Consider the following 21,134-nt stretch of genomic DNA (forward strand, 5'->3'; position numbering starts at 1 on the left):
GTGTACCTGTCGATTTTAAATGACAGCTCTTCTTTGAAAGCTAACTACCCTCCTGTCTAAATCCTCTTCCTGACTGGTCCCCCTTGCCAACCAACAGCATTTTGTTTATGACTCACTCCTAAGGTATATCATGCCTTATATTACATACACTTCTATCTCTTCCACTAGACTTCTAGCCTTTAAGGGTTTAGGTTTTTTCATCCTATGACGCTTAGTCCTTCGTATGTAGAAGGTTAAATAAATGTCTCATTAGATCCATGTAATTAACAAAGAATGGTACTTAAGGCATTATAGGTGGTAAATGCTTACCTGGCTTTCATCCAAGTTCCTCCCAATGACATCCACAGCTGCCGTTCATCACCATTGACAGTATAATTTAAGAAATCAATTGTGTCCTTATTCAATAGGGGACTAAGTACTGAACTGGCTAGTTCAGGACCTCCTGTTGCCTGCACCACCTAAGATAATAAACCATTTTTTAGCAAGAAGATTACTATTCTTTGTGTATTTTCAAAATGTGTGGACAAAAACCCATGGCAAAAACAAGCACTACTTTTTAATAGTCATATTAACTTTTGATGCTGTGCAATGTGCTACTGAATGAAGAAAAGCTTGTCAAATCAACTTGCCCAGCCCAGCAGTGCTTTAAAACCTAAATGAAAGTTAACAATTTAACAACTTTCACAGCATCTGCCTATGGGCTGCATATGACTATAGTTTCTCTGGAAGATACCAAAGGCTATGCAGAGAATTCTAGATCAGGTGATTTTACTACCCCTGTTTTGTTGTTGTTGTTTTAAATATGTGTTTCTCTACTGGCAAATCTATTATGCCAAACTTGAAAAATGCGGTTCCCGAAATGAGTACTATCAAGAGAAACAATACTATCGAGAGTTAACAGTCTATGGCTGTGCCTATACACACATACAAAAAATAAAAGGATCCAGGAAGGAAGGCAAAACAGGAATGAGAACTGGTACTCTGAATCTATGGTACTTTTCCCCAGAATTATTTTTAGAAAATTCCTCTGATTTAATATGGATAATTTAATGACAGCAGAAACAAACAGGTGCAATTCTCTGATAAGCAAAATGAGGATAAGTAGATGTTCAAAAACTGCTCTAAATTTACTTCTTATGAGCTATTTTCTGGCTAAAAAAAAAATGGTAGTTATCTCCTAGAGCAGAAACCAGAGTCTCTTTATAAAATCTTACCTTCTCAGAGATGCGGCACAAGAAGATAGGAGATTTTTTGAATGGCTCCAATCATCCAGGTGTTCTCAGCATGCTATACTGTTCTAGGCCTCTGTGTATTTGTACATGCTGTTCCCAGTTCCCCAGAAGGCCATTCCCCCATTATTCAGAACTCTACTCAGGTCCCAACTCTTGTGAAAGCCTGTGTTAACCCCACAGTGTAACTCCGATGTACCACTCCCCAGCCTGCGTCCTCTAAACAATTTATGCATATTAGTAACACATTACACTATTACACTGTAATTTATGCATATTAGTAACACCCTACACTATTACACTGTAATTTATGCATATTCGTAACACATTACACTATTACACTGTAATTTATGGCTTTTCAGTTTCCCCTCCTTGAGGAGTTGGACTAAGACTTATCTGACTTTCAACTGCAGATGATACAGTGGTACTGGAATGAATGAAAAAAGATGGCAGATAACGGAGGAAAGCTAACTCTTATTTGAGAACAAAACCTACCCTGCCTATCTAGCACAGTAATTTTTAACTTCCAACCTCGAACGCATTTCCAATAAATATGTAGCAATAAGAGGGAAAAGTAAAACTAAAGAAAATGAGTAGAGGAATATAAAAATACCTGATTTAACAGAAGGAAGAGGAAATAAAATGAAAGAAAGTATAAATGAAAGGTTAAGAGCCATGGTTCCCTCTCAAGAACGTGCGCAGGCACATGTGCTGTGGCTACGCTCGTGTGTACATGTCCATGCTGAGGGAAGAGGAGAGCAACTCGCAGGTGTAAAGCCACTACATCATGCTGGCCAGTAGCAGGCCCTGAATAGATGTTCCTCCCCATCTCCCTCGTCCAAGTAAAATGTCCGGGGCCCTGTAGGGAGAACATTAAATGGACCAGCAAAATATTATGATTGGAGAGACCATTAATAAGGTGTAATTTTTGAGAAAAGCAGAGATACTAAACATTGGCAAGTAAACCAATGTTTTCAGGTACATAACCTGATCACAAAGACCAATTTGTATATGTCAGGGAAACCAGCCTTGTTATGTTACAGCTCTATTCTGTGTAATGACTAGATATCTACATATGATCTCTGAAAGTGTGTGAAATAAATAAGAGGAGGCAGCAAAAACTTCTTTATAAATAATACTTCCAAATACTCTAAGATAGCATCAAAAATGTTAAAAACTAAGGAATACAAATTTTGTTAATGAACTAGTATCAGTTTCTTTGCATATGTATGTCCTTGATCTCCACCTAATTTTTTAAAAGCATTTATAGAGCAAGAATTATTCAGAAATAATTAGGCAAGTAGAAATCTGATGCTCCATATACAGCAACAACATATAGGAGCATTCATAAGTTATTGATGTACTCTTGGACTTTCATCTTCTAGTCCCTTATTGCTTAGCTTCTGACATTCATGTTGATAATGTTACTTACTTTCCTATGTTTGTAAAGCAATACTCATTTCATATTCTAATTCAGGTCTTGTCTACTTATCCCTGGGGAAAGAAGGATGAGATTTATCCTCCCTTACTGCCTCTTGTCAATCTTACTTGCTGGTTCTTCCCATTCTCCTAACATCGAATGCCCAGGGCTCAAGCAGTCCTTGGCCTGATTTCTCCATTGAACTCCAAATTCATATACTCAACGATCAATTCAAATTTCCCCATCTGGATACAACTCAATTTTGATATGTTTAAAACTGAATTTTTCACCAACCTCCAAAAACCTGCTCTACCCAGTCTTCCCCATCTTAGTTAATCATCACTCCATCCTGTTAGTCTTAGGCCAAAAATCTGGGAGCTATCCTTGGCTCTTGCACAGTATATCCAATCTAGCAGCAAATTTATAACCAAATCAGACTTCTCATCACCTCCAATGCTACCAGGTCCAAGCACCATAATCCCCCATCTGGATTATTTTAATAATGACCCTAGCTTTTTCTTCCCCAAAATTTCTAAACATTATAGCCAGGGCAATCCTTTTCTGCTGAAAACTCTTCAGTTGTCAAAGGTCTCCCAATCCCTTATAAAGACCAACAGGATGTGTCTTCCTGTTACCCTGCTGATATCATCTCTTTCTAATCTTTTCTTCATTCTGTTGAAGTCACAGCTCTACTTATTCCAAGAACATGCTTTGCATGTTATCACCTCAGAACATTTATACGTTAACTATTCTTCGTCTGGAATTCTCTTCTTTCAGGGATCCACATGACCCATTCCTTACTTCCTTTACTCCAATGACATCTTCTCAGTGAGGCTTCCTTTAACCAACCCTACTCAAAAAGTGCAACACTCCGTTTCCCACACACATAGACACATGCGTGCATCCCCCTGGGGAACTCCCAGTTTTCCTTCACTCCTCTATTTTTCTGCATAGCACGTGATTTTTAGACTACTGTATTATGCAGACATTTATTTAGGTTATTGGCTACCCCACTATGTTACAATATAAGTTCTAAGAAGGTAAGAATTTTTGTCTGTTTTGTTCCTGATGGGCTACTATAAAGCCAAGCACATAGAAGGCTCTCAATTTGTATTTGTAGAACCAGTGCATAAATGAATAAACAAGTCAGAGACAGTTCAAGAGATGAAGGAACACCTCGATAAAAAGAACATGGGTCTCTGAATGACTTCATGGAGCAAACCATCCATCAAGAACTAGACTTCTCATGATTATTTTGTGAGAATGAGAAAAACATCTACGTTATTCAAGGCACTGGATATTATATACTAGTATACGTTGAAATACTGGTATCCAATAAATCTTTATTTCTTTTCATATCCCTAGCACTGTCAGAGATACCAGTTTCCTCAACTATAAAATAAGGTGCTTAAACTAGATGATTTACAGGGTTCTTTTAAATTCTCAAATTTTACATTCTTGATGTTTACACAAATGGCAAAGAAATAGTACCCACGCAAGGTAATGAAGAAAAGCAGTCTAGATAATCCAGACAGACACTTGGGGTTAAAAAATATACTAAGAACGATTCTTTCTTAAACTAATAAAATCTCACCATATTTAATGGAGTAAACAAAAAGTGAACCAAATCTGCAGCACTAGGATTCTGAATATGAGACTTCAGTTTGGCCTGCAACATGAAGAAAACAGAAAACAGATTACTATCAAGCAAGACAGACACTCAGAAAGGTCCAACATAGACACAGAGGGGACGGTCTTTACCACCAGATTCAGTTTTAATATATTCTTTAGCATGGATAGAGTGAGAATAGAAGTCATTGTTTTTCAATCAAGTCTCTTAGATATATATGTTTTAAAATTTGCTGTTTTAACTGAAGGCAAATCAAAACATACACACCCCCACAAAATCTATAAAAACAATTTTATTTCTTAATTTAATCAGAAACATCCTGACTAGATTTTCACCTTTTCCATTTATTTCTTCTAATTCTATATACATAAATTTCACTTACCAGAAGGTTAAATCCGTGTTTAAACTTTTGGAAACAGTCAAGAAATTCATCAGGAGGTGGAGGTTTTGCCCGCAGCGTTAAAACACCCTCTAATGAAATAAGCGAGAGGAGAGGATCAGAGCAAAATCCAAGGAAATTTATTAAATGGAAAAACAAAAACCACATTTATGTCTGTAAAGTTTGAAGATCTCATCAGACATGCTACCTAGTTACCGTGCTACATCTCATAGTCTGACTGTAACAAACTGAGAAGATACAAATTTCAAAATGGATTGCTCTATCCTTAGGCACTACAAATTACTCATTTAATTCCATAAACATACATTGTAGCCTTTCTCTATGGCAGACATTGTGCAAGTGAGTAACTGACAAGCCCTGCTCTAAGGGCCTTAAAAGCTAATAAAATACATGAATCAGATAAATAACAAGAGAAGTACCAATCGTTATGAGAAGAGACTTACCTGGTTGGGAGATAAGGAAATGGATACTTAAAAGGTATTAGATGGAGAAAGTAGCTTATAAGATGGGATTTGAAAAAGTTTGGTCCAGGGTGATGTGGTGGGAAAAACATCATGGTTGGATAAAAACAGCATAAGCAAAAACAAGGAAAGGGGGAATTGCATGTATACGAAACAACAAACAAAAGGAGAGAAACATGAGAATGGAAGGGTAGATCAAGGTTAGATTGTGGATAACCTTGATTTCCAGGGCGAACAGTTGTACTTAAATCAATAGAACATGGAACTAGCGTGCTTTACAGCAGAAGAATGAAGTGACTGAGAGCTTTAAGAAGATTGTTCTCACAGCATGAAAAAGTAGAGGCTTAAAGACTGCTTCGAAAGCAGGGTTAAAAAAAATGATAGTAGCTTGAACTAGATATGAAAATGAAAAGGGAAAAAACTGGATACAGGAGATGTTGAGAAAATAAAATTGATGTTGGCTATAAGCAAGAGAATGAAGTCACAGAAGAATCTGTGGTTTTGAATCTGGGTGATCAAGAGGATAGTATACCTTTCATAGAGAATTTCAAAAGGAATAAGTGGTTTAAGATACCAGGAAGCAATAGTACTTAATTTCAGAATATGTGGAGAGGAAGCACATCCATGTATTCACATGCAGAAGATAAAGCCAAAGGTCATATGCTCATTATACAAATATGTGCTACAGAAAGATTTGGAAGTTATCTGTAATGAAAGGGATATTTATTTACTATTTTATATCTTTCAATCTCTACCATTTTGTCAGAGGAAGTATAAACATTACTTCCATAATTTTAATTTTATATAGCTGAGGCCATTTTAAATAGCTGAACTGCAGCATACTTCAAAATTGTCTGTATGTGACTTTGTATGTGACCTGAATGTACCGTTTAAAGTTTTGTGATAAAAAATTCAAATCTGTTGAAACTTTTAAATATTTTAGTAAGTCAACCCTTTTATTTAACAAATAATATGGTTCTAGTTTACAACAGAATAAATCCAACTACAAGAATAGAGCTATGTCTTTCTTTAACAGATACTTAATTTTACAATAACTAATGAAAACTACAGATAGATGGTCACTGCCTGAATCTCAGTCTCTGTGATTTAGGTAAAACATTCCAGGATCTTTCTTCACTATAGCTGACTTATAACCAAAATGGACTCTTCCCTGAGTTCATCTTACTCTTTGCCTAAATCTCAAGTGCTACCCCAAAACTAGAAGAGGAACCCTAGTCCACAGTCAATGAAGTTTTGCTAAGTAGTTCTTGAGGGTCAAAACTCTGCCTAGTACCAGAGTTCTTTTTTTTTTTTTTTGACATGGAGTTTCCAGGCTGGAGTGCAATGGTGTGATCTTAGCTCACTGCAACCTCCGCCTGCTAGGTTCAAGCAATTCTCCTGTCTCAGCCTCCCAAGTAGCTGGGATTACAGGCACATGCCACCATGCCCGGCTAATTTTTGTATTTTTAGTAGAGACGGGGTTTCATCACATTGGTCAGGCTAGTCTCGAACTCCTGACCTTAGATGATACACCCGCCTCGGCCTCCCAAAGTGCTGGGATTACAGGTGTGAGCCACTGCGCCCAGCCAGTACTGGAGATCTAACCAGGCATTAGAAGATTAAGAAAATCCAACTTACCTCCTGGTCCTTTCCTTTTACCTTTCTTGTTTTTCTTCCTTTTAGAAAGCTCAGAAAATGCTTCTGCTGCTTTTTGGAGTTTTGTGATAAAAAATTCAATGTCATCCAAAATGTGGTTTAAGATTTGCTGAAATTAGAAATTATAGAATAAAATATAAAACAAAACTATTTTTACCTTAGCTGTACTCTGTTAGTAAATAATAGAAAGGTTTTTTTAGAAAAGGAAGCAGCCCACATGCCAATTTCAAGTTTATTACTAATTACAAGAATCAAACTAAATATACCTATAGCCATATTCTGACATTTACATTTTTCTTTAGCTTACTTTTGCTCTATTTTCAATGTCATCAAGGAAGCATTCACAATATCTGCTCAGATTATTATTTTCAATTACTCTAATTTTCTCAGTGTTCTCCCACACAGTTAGGAGGAAAATTCTAAAATAGGTTTTGTTAGAAGAGCACTGACATTTTTGCTTTACTGATAAATGTCCCAATAAAGCACTGACAATATTACTTCATGGAATTAAAGGTATACAGATTGTTGTGATAACCTAATAGCTAGTCTAGGATACTAAGCATTAATAAGAGTTTCCACATGACAAAATAGAATAATGCACCATGCTTTCAGAGATCACTGGAATGAATTTGATTATCTTATATACTATAGTCTTAGTTGCCTTTCTCCAGTATGTGTGAAACTTGACATTCTTCTAATTTAAGACTACAAATTGGGGTTAAACTTTTAAGTATAACATGTAATAGTGTGCTGTAAAAATTGAATTAGAAATTTCAAATTCCTTTCAGTATTTGTTTCTCAATAAGCTGGTAACATGTATATGGTATAAAAAGTAATGTATTAACATCATATTCTAGATCTCATTTAAAGAATGAAAATGCTATAATAAAGCATTTACAGCATTCTCATTCTGTAAATCACTATAAAGAAAACAAATGTAGCATTATCTTTTATAAAAGCTTTACGATTTACAAATCTATCCTTTAAAAATGCCACTTAACTTTTATCTCTTAGGTATTCTAAAATACATTGTTAATAAATGCCAAGAAGACATATTAAAAAGATATTTCAATTATGAATTACAAACGATAATAAAATAAAAATTGTACCATTCCTGAAATCTAATAATTCAGCCTAAGTTCCAATGTAAACTAGTTAATAAGCTGATTCTTCTATCATAGCCCAAGTCTACTAACTAAATATTGGCATAAAGGCAAAAATGTTTAACGAGAAAATAATTCAAAGGGCAAATTCAAAGGGCATAGCCATCACAGGTAACAGAAAACATGGTTTCCATAAAATATCTCTATTTAAATCAGCTTCATTTTCTTATGAAGTTTTCTTTTTCCTCTTAAAAGAAAAGCCAGTGATCTAAAGGCGACTCCTGTACTTACCACATCTCTGTCAATGCGGGCTGCCATCATCTCAGGTGTTTCTTCCTGCTCATGATACTGCCTTGGTTTCTCAACTATAGAAAGGACAATCATAAGTCTTTCAATCTTTTACTCCCACAATACCAATACAGACAATTAAAACATAAAAATTAGTTAAAAAGGAGGACCATTTGCCAAAGGGAACACCTCCACTGGATACACAAGTCAAAACTGTGCTCATCAGCCATGAAATGCATCCTTGTCAATACTAACAGGAGCAGTTGAGCAGAGCTTAAGTATTAGTCCTCTCAACTTTATGATGTTAATTTACCTTGTAATATCACCCCATTCTCTCTCTTCCCTGAGTCAGCTACCTGTAGAACCAACCTTAACTTAGCACCCTTTAATTCCTACACAAGCCAGAAATATAAACCAGCAGTCAAGCTTTTACTTCTCAAAAGCTGGTCAACTAAGTTCTAATGCAACAGAGCTATAATTTTTATACATTCCAACACTGTGACTACAATAAAGCTTTCGGAGTTCTGACAGCAGAGTGCTTCTTAAAATTCTAGTGTAATTAAGCTTAAAACCCACAATGTTGGGCTCATTAATTTTAAGCTACATGCTTTAAAAGCAGACAGAAATTTTCACATTAAAAAATAAATGTCTTAAGACCATTCAGGGTATTAAGGTTGCTCAGTTGGCTACAGCATGATGTTAATCATGAAGTTATTATCATGAACTCCTTCCTGGTATGAGTCAGTTAATACTGCCTCTAAACACAGAGAGTTGTTACAGATATCTCATGGTAGAATAAATTTCAAAATATATGGATGGAACAACAGAAACGTAACACCACAAATGGAAATACAACTCATGATACATCATCGTGACTCATGATGTTCAATAGAGAGAACTGCAAAAAAAAATTGGACACTTTGTATTGCTATTCTTCCTTTACACTAACTTTACCTGTAACTGGAACACTTGCCAACAAAAAAAAAAAAAAAAAGAAAGAAGAAATCATCGTGTCTTATGAAACTTAATTAGCGGCTGTTAACTACTTTAAGATAATTAAAATTTCTATCTATGAAATCTTGCCAGTTAGCTACTATTTTACACATAGATAGCTGCTACCTTGGTTGTAGTGGACTACCACAGAAAGTACTAAGTTGAGGTTGAAATAGCTATTAGGAACTCTACAGAGGCCCCAAAAAATATCATTTGGAGGGCACAGTGAGGGGGAGATATGGTATTTCTTGGGCTCTGTCAGGTCTGAAACACGACTAGGAACCCTAGTGCCACTGGCGCTATTCCACAGAGATCACCTTTGGAAGTCAGGGGTAGATATGCCTCAGGGATTCAACGGAGAAGCAGTTCAGCCTGAGTCAGCTGGAGCATCCAGAGGAACCAAAAAGATATTCCTCCTGAGGGGCTTTCCAACTAAAAACTGGACTGGACCCAGGCCAAACCTGATATAATAAGTCTTCTGTTTAGGCTAGTGGTAAATTAGAAGTTCTGAAAGCCTTATCTCACTTAAACAGATGACATTGCAGAAAATATTTCAGATAAAATTTAATGAAAGCTCAGAAACCCCTAGGGATAAATTCTGTCTTTGTTATAAATTATATTAGGTTCAGCAGGGCATGGTGGCTCACGCCTGTAATTCCAGCACTTTCAGAGGCTGAGGCGGGAGGATCACGAGGTCAGGAGATCAAGACAATCCTGGCTAACACAGTGAAACTCCATCTCTACTAAAAATACAAAATTAGCCAGGTATGGTGGCACACGCCTGTAATCCCAGCTACTTGGGAGGCTGAGGCAGGAGAATCGCTTGAACCAGGAGACAAAGGTTGCAGTAAGCTGAGATCGCACCACTGCACTCCAGCCTGGGTGACAGAGCAACACTCCATCTCAAAAAAAAAAAAAAAAAAAAAAAAAATAATATATATATATATATATATATATATATACACACACACATATATATATGGTTCAACATATAATATACATAATATATATTATATATATTAGGTTCAACATATATTTTTACAGGTTTGTTCAGAATGTCTGTAAACTTGTCTTATCCTTCCTCTACTTCAGACCCTCTTCATCGAAACAGTAACAACAAAAACACCATAAGTACACAAAAAGTATAGAATACAATAAATTACTGTCTTTTAAACACATTTTAAATACAAAGCAGATCAATACAAATTTACATAACTTATGAAAACGGAAACTGTTATAAAATTAAACTACATATCTCTGTTAATTAATTTTTTTTTAAATAAATGCATCAAAGAATTCTTTTTTTCATATCTTTGGTAGCTCGGCTTACATTTCAACCTCTGAAAAAACCTTTAAGAATACAAGAAACCTAAACAAAATAGAAAACAATTCAGAAAGAAAATGAACTCAATTTGGCAAAATGAAAACCACAAATTATGCTTACTATTTTGTAGTAGGTACTACCATAAACATTATTTACTTTCAGATTCAGAGCAACCCATGAATTATTATCCCCATTTCAGAGATGAGACCGAAGTACAGAGAGATAACTTCCCAAGACCACACAGGTAGACATATCAGGTCTTGCTTCAGAGTCCAACTTTTACTCTGCACATCCAAAGTAGAGTCCGAGGTGACTCATTTTTGGAAATGAGTTATATCGTTTAACTATAGTGCCAGATACCCTGTGTGAATAATACTTTACTGGATAAAGAATAAGAAGTTAAGAAGTTCCACTGGAGTAGCGGCAAAAGAATGAGGCTCTAGAGTTCATCAGATTGGAGCCTGCTGAATCACAATTTATTCGTCCTTAAAATGAAGATACTAGACCAAACATATTTTAAGGCATTTTTTTAGTTATAAACATTTCAGATTCTAGTAAAATATTCTAACATATAAAAAGTAACACTAAGTTCTATGTTATAATTGTTTTTAAACAGAATGCCAAGGTGAAATGATGCCACGCTCATAGGGCCCACTTGACAAGAACAGTCATATGATGGATACCTTTTACCCTTCTCCACTGCCAGCAGCCAACCACTGTCCTGACAACCTTTCCATGAATATGACAAACTTGTCCAAAAAGGGACTCTAGTTAGATAATAAAAAATGGAAAGAATGTTAAGTGCAATCTTTAAGAAAAACCTGTATATATTTTGTTGCCATCTTTTTGTCAATCAAGTAAAACTTCCTCTTAGCATTAAAAAAATAAAAAGACTCTAACCCTAATACCATATTTATTAAATGGTGGGTCTAAACTCTTACAGATAATAATCTTAACAAAATTCAAGGCTTAACTTTATTTTATCTAAGATTTGATTTTTTTTTTTTTTGAAATGGAGTTTTGGTCTTGTTGTCCAGGCTGGGGTGCAATGGCGTGATCTCAGCTTACTGCAACCTCCGCCTCCCGGTTCAAGTGATTCTCCTGTCTCAACCATCCCAGTAGCTAGGATTATAGGCGCATGCCACCACACCCACCTAATTTTTGTATTTTTAATAGAGACGGGGTTTCATCATATTGGTCATGCTGGTCTCAAACTCCTGACCTCAGGTGATCCGCCCGCCTCGGCCTCCCAAAGCACTGGGATTACAGGCATGAGCCACTGCGCCCGGCCAGAGTTGATTTTTTAAAAACTAACCTCAAGCTTCAGTTCTGAAATCAGCATCAGAATTTGAAAGCAAGAACTATGTCCCAACCCAAAGTAAGTGTTCAATAAGTATTAATTCTAGGAAGACTCACAGTCCCCTTGGTCGGCTGCCCATGCAGACCAGGCTGCCACTCGACTTCTAACATCCACCTGGGTGACGGTCCCAGGGGGCGCAGGGGCAGGAGCTCTGGGTGGAGGCGGTATACTAGGGTCTGCATTGGAAATCATCCTTAAAAAGATGAAAACAAATAGAATTTTTACCATCTCTATTTCTATAACATATCAATTAACTCAACTTGTGGTACTAGTTATTAAAATTCAAAAAGAACTATGTCAAGGGACAATAAGGATTTCCTAAGCATTACACATTATGCATATTTATGAATGCATATGAAATAAAAAAATTAATAGTCAGCTGAAAACTAGGTTGATTTTCCTTCTGAGTCTTATGTGATTTGAAAGGGCCATGGAACAATTACAATCCTACTGTCTAGCTTGTATTTCCCTAGGATACCTTCTCTTAAAATGCCACTCATCTTTCATGACTCTGTGACTTCCAACACAAGTGAAGCCATATCAGAGAAAGACCAAAAATATGGAGAGAAGAGGAGTAAACACACTGACAAACTTGGGAGAACAAATGTGTTGAGACTACAGGTTATGATCTATACAATACAATAATATACTTCCATAGAAAATAATTTTTCTAACTCTTTGGGGAAAAAAGCCTTAGAAACAAATCAATTCCACTCCTTGATTTCTTTCAATGCTTTTACCTCAGGGCGTCGGGCCGCCTCTTCTGTTTCCCTCCTTTACTGTCACTGATTGCACTTTCAATATCTTCACTAATTAGGTTTGCCTGCAAAGAGACACAAGTTACCTGAAAGTTTATGGATTTTTCTGAGTCTTGATATGTAGTTTAAAACAGAAAAAGGGATTGTTCCTTGTCTGAATCAGTAAGTATCTTGATGTAAAAAGTCTTTTTATAAAAATCTTGCAAAACATGACTCTTGTGGTTTTTATAATGGTGAACTATATAATGATAAGATTTTAAAAACTGAAGAAATTTTTAATGATTATCTTAAAGGGAAACTATCCTTGAATAAAGGCAATGATAGAAAGGATATGTACACGCTAAAAATGAAACTGAGTAAAAATCTCTAATTGGGTAGAAATTAAGGGGTTAGAGGCTCCCACACATAGAACAGAGTTCCTTCCCTTTCTCATCCTCAAGATCCACTGGACACCCATTAACCCAGCAAAACAAATCTTTGAGTTTAAGGCAAATCTACTACACCCATAAGATAAACTCCAACGCTAGGTTTTACCCCTTTGGGTAACCACTTTATTTTGTCACTTCAGGTAAAAGTTAACTTTCTGCAAACAATTAACTTTTCCACTACTTTTCCAGAACATTCAGTTAGATTTTTCTTGGGGAGCAACGTGAGATTAGCAGATACGAAGTTTCTGTTTGGTTGCAAAGTTTGTTTAGAGCCAGTGATCATTACTCTATATTAGAATGTTGATGAGATGCACCATCTATGTTTGGGCCTCCCTGTTCTCTGTAATGTTTTCTCAAATATGTATGTTGTATTTCTTTTACAGTAAGCATCGATAATCATAAAACTTTAGAAATGATGGGATATTTAAAAGAGCATCTCATCAGTTCCTTCTAATTAATAAAACTGAGGAGTACTTGTATAAAAGGGCCTGGCCAAGGTCACATTGCTAGTTAAATGAGAGGCCAATGCATCCCAGTCCAGTGTGACTTCCTAAGAGCATTTAGTTTCAATAAGACATTACAAATATCGTGTCAAAGGCTTTCTGTTACATAGGATACTAAAACTGAAGATGAAAAGATATTTAATTAAAAATAATTATTTAAAAAAACCCAAAATGAAAACTGAAGATGCCTAGGAATCTTCAACTTCTTATACTGGGGCTATTATATTTCTAAGAAAAATTTTACTGCAAAGGTGGGCAGGAGCATTGCATGAAGTCCTATAATAAAGAAACTTTAAAAATCAAAAGCAATATTGCACAATGAGCCATATAAAAGAAACTGCGTTTTTCATTGCCTCTATATTTTTAACCAGCCAAGCGAAAAATGTCTCATATGCAGAGTATGAAACTAATGAGTAAATGCATACAGTGCTTCGTGGTATGTGAGCTTTTGGGGTTAGGACAAAACTATATTCAGTAAATACATTTTGAATCCATTATCATTACCATTCCATATCAAGTAAAGCAAGCCATTTGTTCCCAAACCTAAAATCCAGAAACTTTTCACAGCATAGTAACTTTTAGCTCCCGGGGGGGGCTTTTTAGAACACAGATACAAACATCAAATTTGAAATGTTTTTCAACTTAGGCCTCTGGTTTATAAAAATGTTTGAATTAAATTTCACTATATTTTTAAAGCAAAATATTCCCTTTAATATTTATTGACTGAATATATCTAACCTTACAAAAATTATAATATACTATGACTTTCAAAAGGCACTATACAAAAATCTGATGAATATCACTTACACAAATTACCTAAATGCCAGTTCTTTTAGAAGAAGGTTTTTAGAAAGTCATCCATGACGTAAATTGAAATTAGAAGAAAATTATAAAATACAGTTTACAGTCAATCTTACTTTATCTATCATCTTTAAATGTCAAAAAACACAGAAAAGATCAAGTAACTGTGCTAATCTCCTAGAGTTTCTTTATAAAATAAAATTACATGGATATTTTATAATATATCATCAAAATGTTAAATCACTGCTTTGGCAAAGTACCAATTAACACAAAATGATTTCTCTTTTAAAGAAAACAACTGAGGAAATAAACACATTCAAGGTTGAAGATAACTTCTAAGGTCCAATAAAGCATCACAAATTATAATCATTTGAAATTACACTGTACTTTGAAATAGAAACTTTCAGGATATAGCCTGTTATTACTGGCTCAACTATTTTCACATATCATCTGGGAATTACAAATCCTGAGCAATGAATCAAGTCACATAATTAAATGGTGAACTTTAAATCAATATCGTGGGAAATGTCTAAGTACTTCATTGCAGTAATCCATGCTATGTCATTAGTGCAGAATAAATTCAAATTACATGATTATTTACTGTCCACAAAGCAAGATTTCTGAACAATCAATTTTTAATTATAAGTTTAAGGCATTTGATGTGAATTTAATATATTATCTACACTTTAAAAAAATAAACAGAATGCATCTTATTTTTAAGAGACACAATCTCAATCTGTTGCCCAGGCTGGAGTGCAGAGGGGTGATTATAGCTCACTGTAATCTCCAACTCCTGGCTCAAGAGATCTTCCTCCCTTAGCCAACTGAGTAGCTGAGACTACAAGCGTGTACAACCACATCTAGCTAATTTTTAAAACCTTTTTAGTAGAGACTGGGTCTTGCCATGTTGTCCAGGCTGGGCCCAAACCCCTGGCCTCAAGCCATCTTACAGCCTTGGCCTCCCAAAGCACTGGGATTACAAGTGTGAACTACTGATTTGATTAACATCACCCTAATTTCTTTATTTACTTGCCATGGAAATCCTAGAGAAGATACTAAGGTATTTGTTTTCCTTACGAGATGCTCAGAAACTAAAAATCTAGTAACTAATATGCAGATATATTATCAAAATAGGTAATTCAAAAGCTCCCAGACAATCTGCTTAAAGAAGAAACAAAAATTTCACCATTCTTTTACCTTAACCTCATCACACTGGAAGAGATGAAGATCTGGCTTGTTCTGGGTTGGCTCTTTGCACACCAGTGCAAGAACTGAATCATAGCTGCATGAATGCATCACAGCTTGGCAGTGCTGGATTGTGTTTAAAGGAAAATTCTCCAGTTCATTCTATAAATAAAGTGAACATTTTATTTTGTCAAACTTCCATCCATTTTCAAACAATCTGAAATGATTGTAAACATTAATATTTGTGGAGTTTCTTGAAAATAAAATAGTATAAATTTTACACACTTGCCTTTGATTCTAAATCAATCAGGCTCACAGCTCTGTCATCCACTTGAAGAATCATATCTTGAGTCCACACTTTGCCCTTGGCATCAAGCAATTTCAATTTCCTTATTCCATCATCAACAGTGATCATAGCATCTTTCCGATCCAGGACAAAGGTAGTCAAGTGCTTACAATTGGCAAAAAGGAAAAAGATTTATAACACATACAAACACATACAACCTCTTAGTATACATTTTCCAAAAGAAAATCAAATAACCTGAGGTCAGCTAGCAGAGAACGACAAACACAAAGTACTCTTAAAACTTCATGACTATTTTAATGAGAGAATAAAGCCAACCAAGGTTTTTTTTGAATAGAAGAAATGGTGTTTTGACTCATAAGATACCTAAATCTGTTTCATACGGAGCCATGTTGAACTACATAAACATGACATTAAAACAAATTCTTAACAGCTTAAATAATATTCTCTTAAAATAAACTTTCCCCTATTTGACACTCTATTATGGTTATTTAAATGCTGAACATAGCAGCATTTAAACAGCAGGCTATCTGTATGGGAGCTTCAAAACTATGGACACTGATTGTAGCAACAGCACAATTCTAGTCTATAGGAACTGTCAAACTATTCAATCCACTAAAACCACTTACTGAAACAAAACTGTTTAAATTTGATTAAGCATGCTTGACATAGGTAGAAAACTGAAAATAAGAGCAATTTAAAAATTACTTCCCTGCTTAAATATTTTCTATTATAAGCACAGGTCAACCAGATAAATTCCAATCAAGAGCAAATATCGTAAAAGAGGGCAAAAACTAAAAAAGAACCATTATTTAACTAGAACTGGCAATAACTTTAGTTAAACTAAAAACTAAATTGCTCACTGAAACTAGCAAAGGCTTAATTTCAAGAAGATTCTATAGTACAAAGTAAAAGCCATTATTCTATTATAAGTGAAATAAGACTGGCAAGGATAAATGGATAGTAGTTATGATTTTAAATCATTCTTTATGAAAATAGACCACAGACTAACAAGATACTTTATATGTAATATCTGTTTTAAAAAATCTAAACAAAAAGGTCAATGCAACTTAAAATACATCATAAGAATGAAATAAAACAGAATTCTGATTTAACTTCCAATTTTTATGTTCCTCAAGGGTCACTCTAAATACTAGCAAACACCAAAGCATCTTACTTCAACACGGTATTGAGATATATCTGACACACTGCTGACACTGTCCCGTGCATAATTCTTCCTTTGTTCTGAAAGAGAAATTGAAAAAGCCATGATTTGTCCCCTAATAGACTGAAGTTCATATGTTGGTATCATGTGGCTATCTCTAAAACTAGTCTATCTCACATATAAATACAGTAGCTGACAAGTTGCCATTGTGTGGTGTATCTGAAAACACTCATTATTCGCAGTAAATCTAAAAACCACAAGAAAGTCTAAATAATAGGCAAGAACAATTTGATCCACTATCCATTTTTAGAATTCCAAAGGTTAACAAGAGTATAAATATTATAAGAAAAAAAGTTATTTCATCTAAAGGTTTTATTTATCAGTCAGGGACCTACTGTTTGACAAGTCAATTACAACTGGCTTATAAATTTCATCTGTTACTGCACTGATATCAAAATGTAATTGCAAATATTGTCATAGATACTGTATTATATGAGTTAGACTACATTATTAAAATAATAGGCATTACAAGGAACATCTCCTTTTGCAATATCCAAATTGGGATAGTGTTAGAGGAGATTTAAAACATGATTCAATCACATGGCTTGCCATTAAATATTAACAGTTTTCACACATCTACAAAACACACAAATGTGATACTTAGAATTATAAATATAAGCTGATAGGAAAAACAAGAAAGTCAGGTAGAAAGTTATTGCACCAAACTACTTAAAAAGCAAAAAGAAACCTTTAATTTTCTTTTCTGAAATGCTGCAAAACCAAAAAAATAACATTAAAATATAAAATGTATGTCGGCAATATTTGGTATTTGTTACTCTCTTTTTAAAATTTGTATTGTTTTTTAAAATATGGAACACTTCATGAATTTGAGTGCCATCTCTGCACAGGGGTCATGCTAATCTCTGTATCATTCCAATTTTAGTATATGTGCTGCCAAAGTGAGCACTATTTGTTACTTTTCTAATCAAGCAACTTGCTTATTTGTAAATTCAGAGTTGCCCTATTTCTTCTAAACAGAATGCTATGATGAAAAATAACTCTGAGAGGGAATTATAAGATTTATTGTTCCAGCTTCGGCTCTGTCACTAAGTAGGAAACTAAATTTGGGCAAGAAACTTAATACCCTGGGCCTCAGCACCCTTACTGTAAAATAAAAGGATTAAACAAGGTCAAACCTAAAGGCCTTTAAGCCATTAACATTCTGACATATAGATATACCTTAGCTTTCCCAACAACCTATTTTTTTGTAAATGTAAACCTATTTCTTTTAGTTAGTATAGATATTCTATAATAGATAAGTTGTTTGGAAAGTTCTGCTGAACATAAAAGCTGAGCAAGTACAAAAATATAAAGTGCATATATACATATGCAGACTCAGAACATTAACACAGAATTTTAAGAAAACTTAATAAATTTTCATTTTACAACACATATGAATTTCATTTATATTTACTTTTAAAATTTAGATTAAAATCTCCATGTCCTTGTATCAATATTACTCTGATATTCCAATACACTCCATTTTTGCTTTTGCAGCATTAAAATTACTTAATAAAAACAGATGCACTACAAAATTCACTCTGTGCTACCTTTCTTTTTTTGTTTGGATGATGACCTGAGGAAGTATGATCCATCTGGTCCTACCAAAATAATGTCATCAAAAAGAAAGATCTGGTTTCACCTAAAATTTTCTCTCCCAATATAACAAAACATAAACCTTCACTTACATGACTGTATTCTACATATTTTTAAAAAGTGAGCGACTGTGATTTTTCTGATTAGTTGTTGAGGATTAATCAGTGTGAGATATTAACACATCGATAATTGTCCCTGTGACAGCCGTTATGACTCTTGTAATACAATATATAATTCAGGAATATATTTCACAAAACCACATCTAGAAATAATCACTATTTCAGAGTCACTGGTTCACCATATTCTAACACAACTGTCCACGATAGATTCAGAGCAGGAGGGCTCGGCTTGCTTTGATCTGACCTTAGGACAGAAAAGAAATGGCAGTGGTTGCCATGACACCCAGTCATGATATGGCAGCTCCTGGATGTTCAAATGCTTTGTCTTTCAGGTAATTTATTGGCAAATACAACAGTTGAAGATCTGAAATACTGTGTGTTTCTATTTAGATATTCTCATTATGAAGTATTAAGAATTTATCCCTGACCTCTTGATTTCCTAACCCATAGTTTCCCAATCCCACAGAAACATAATTTACAGAAATGAGAAGAAAAACTATCTGATAGCATTTTAAACAGTATGACATTAACCGATCACTCTGAGTGCCTAGAAGATATGGTGTCATTTCTAATATTCCAAATTAAGAATCCACTTTAGGAATTCCTAAGCTGCTTTCTCTATGTTGTACAATAAATAAGTTGTATAAGAAACTACCTTTTAAAGATCCTAAAAATGTATAAATGCCATAAATGGACTTATAAATAAACTAGTAGTTCCAGTGATTTTTAAGTCAATCCATAAAGGTTAATATTAACATTTTAATAGGCAATTTTGAAAGACATTTCCTAAAAGGCAATTATAATACATTTCTTTTTTATGAGAATCACATGTATTCACAAGAACTGGTATAAATAGTAATTAGGCTCCTAAGCTAGAAATCTCACCAAAGCCTTAAAACAGTATAAAAAGCCTAACTAAAATCTCTCAACACTACTCAAGATGAATCCTCTAATGAAATTCACCACTTTTGCTAACAGTGGTTCTCATCCTTGGCTGCATGTTGGAATGAACTTTATAAAACAGTGTGCAACTCATCTACTATATACTATCTCTTCAAGCAGAACATTTTCCTTTCCAAATTAAGAATGTAAATATCGTCAAATGGTATATTAAATAATAAATTCATGAATAAACATGGCAGTAGGGTTTTAGGTTTCTAGTAGTACAAGCTGCTCAACTCCTAACATAAGACTAAGTCTATTTCCCCTCCTATTCTGGCCCCTGCCTCTCTTTCTCGCTCAGAATCAATTAGAGGTAGGATGAAACTTACTTGGCTATAGAACCACTGGTTGTGTTTCACTATTTTGTCTATTAGCTTTTATGTCATGGTCCAGAATGTACAACTCCAAACAGACAGAATTACATGAATTCAGTAACCAACGATGAAAAATATTTACATACAATTTTATCATACACTATTGCAAAAATTGATATTCAACTCCCAGATCAGAAATACTAAATTTAGGTTTCATTTAATTTGTTAATTAGTTGAACTACAAGTATAAAAAGCATCCAGGTGTTGGTATTTACACTTAATTCCCTTTCACATGCATTGCTGTTTATGCATAATATAACATTTGAAACGGCTAATATTCAAAGATACAGCTAATATTTAGAATTTTTTTTCTCTTTCTCTAAAAACAAAAATGTTCCTTAGAGAGTAAGGATTTGGCCATTAACAAGAAAAAAGTAACATAAAAGCAGCTGCTGAGTATTCCTCTCTCTAAATAAAACAATGGGCTAGAACTCATATTACTTTATACTTACAAAAACTTTCAACCACAGTAAGGGAGAATTCCTTTCCCACTAGCTTAGTGTCTAAGTATATCTATTCCATAGGGGAGAGGTGCTTAATGGGAATCAGTGAGGAGCACTGAGTGATAATTACAAGCTCTCAATATCAGGCAACTACAATCACAGCTTGACAAATGAGTATCCGAACCAACATACCATTATGAAAAATAAAATCATTTCTTTAAAACTACATTAAGAACTAATTTTATTGGCCTGTTCAACAAATTATTAAAATGGCTGATTCCATGAGGTAAAAAGGACTTTTAAAATTTTCAGCTAAGTTGGGAAAACTGCCGAACTGTCTTTTTGAGTCAACTGTTCTGCCACATTCTATCAAGCTGAACTTTTGACTCAAACATTTAGCTCAATTTCCTGATACTATTTAATGAATTAGAAGCCATTTACATCTTAAGAATTTCAAAAAAAAATTTGTTCTGTTAAAAAAAAAGATTTCAATGTTTTCTTTAAGTAAAATACACACTGTAAATAAGGATGGGCAAAAGAGAAACAGGTTTTAACTCTTAAGTACTACTTGAATGTGTAAAAAATTGCTTGG

The 21,134-nt window shown here is 34.5% G+C and overlaps 1 protein-coding gene and 1 pseudogene across 22 annotated transcripts in view; both read right to left on the minus strand.

The window, feature by feature from the left end:
• EPS8 (EGFR pathway substrate 8, signaling adaptor) overlaps window positions 1-21,134 on the minus strand; it is a 169,255-nt gene that overhangs the window by 33,702 nt on the left and 114,419 nt on the right. For 17 of the 22 annotated variants that reach the window (NR_182223.1, NM_001413836.1, NM_001413835.1 and 14 more), the window contains 10 exons: window positions 17,021-17,088; window positions 15,829-15,990; window positions 15,552-15,701; window positions 12,605-12,687; window positions 11,921-12,057; window positions 8,191-8,264; window positions 6,779-6,905; window positions 4,662-4,750; window positions 4,244-4,318; window positions 310-458 (listed from right to left, as the gene is read on the minus strand). Coding sequence is in view for 19 of the 22 variants with exons in the window: in NM_004447.6 (NP_004438.3) it covers window positions 310-458; window positions 4,244-4,318; window positions 4,662-4,750; window positions 6,779-6,905; window positions 8,191-8,264; window positions 11,921-12,057; window positions 12,605-12,687; window positions 15,552-15,701; window positions 15,829-15,990; window positions 17,021-17,088 (1,114 nt within the window). In the remaining 3 variants the exon portion in view is untranslated. Of the gene's footprint in view, window positions 1-309; window positions 459-4,243; window positions 4,319-4,661; window positions 4,751-6,778; window positions 6,906-8,190; window positions 8,265-8,500; window positions 8,972-10,958; window positions 11,272-11,920; window positions 12,058-12,604; window positions 12,688-15,551; window positions 15,702-15,824; window positions 15,991-17,020; window positions 17,089-21,134 lie in introns of those variants that run through there. The other 5 variants (NR_182222.1, NM_001413837.1, NR_182221.1 and 2 more) reach the window with 5 other exon arrangements.
• Window positions 17,872-17,975, minus strand: RNU6-251P (RNA, U6 small nuclear 251, pseudogene; annotated as a pseudogene).

This window comes from Homo sapiens, chromosome 12 (assembly GCF_000001405.40).
Source record: "Homo sapiens chromosome 12, GRCh38.p14 Primary Assembly".
NCBI classification, from domain to species: domain Eukaryota; kingdom Metazoa; phylum Chordata; class Mammalia; order Primates; family Hominidae; genus Homo; species Homo sapiens.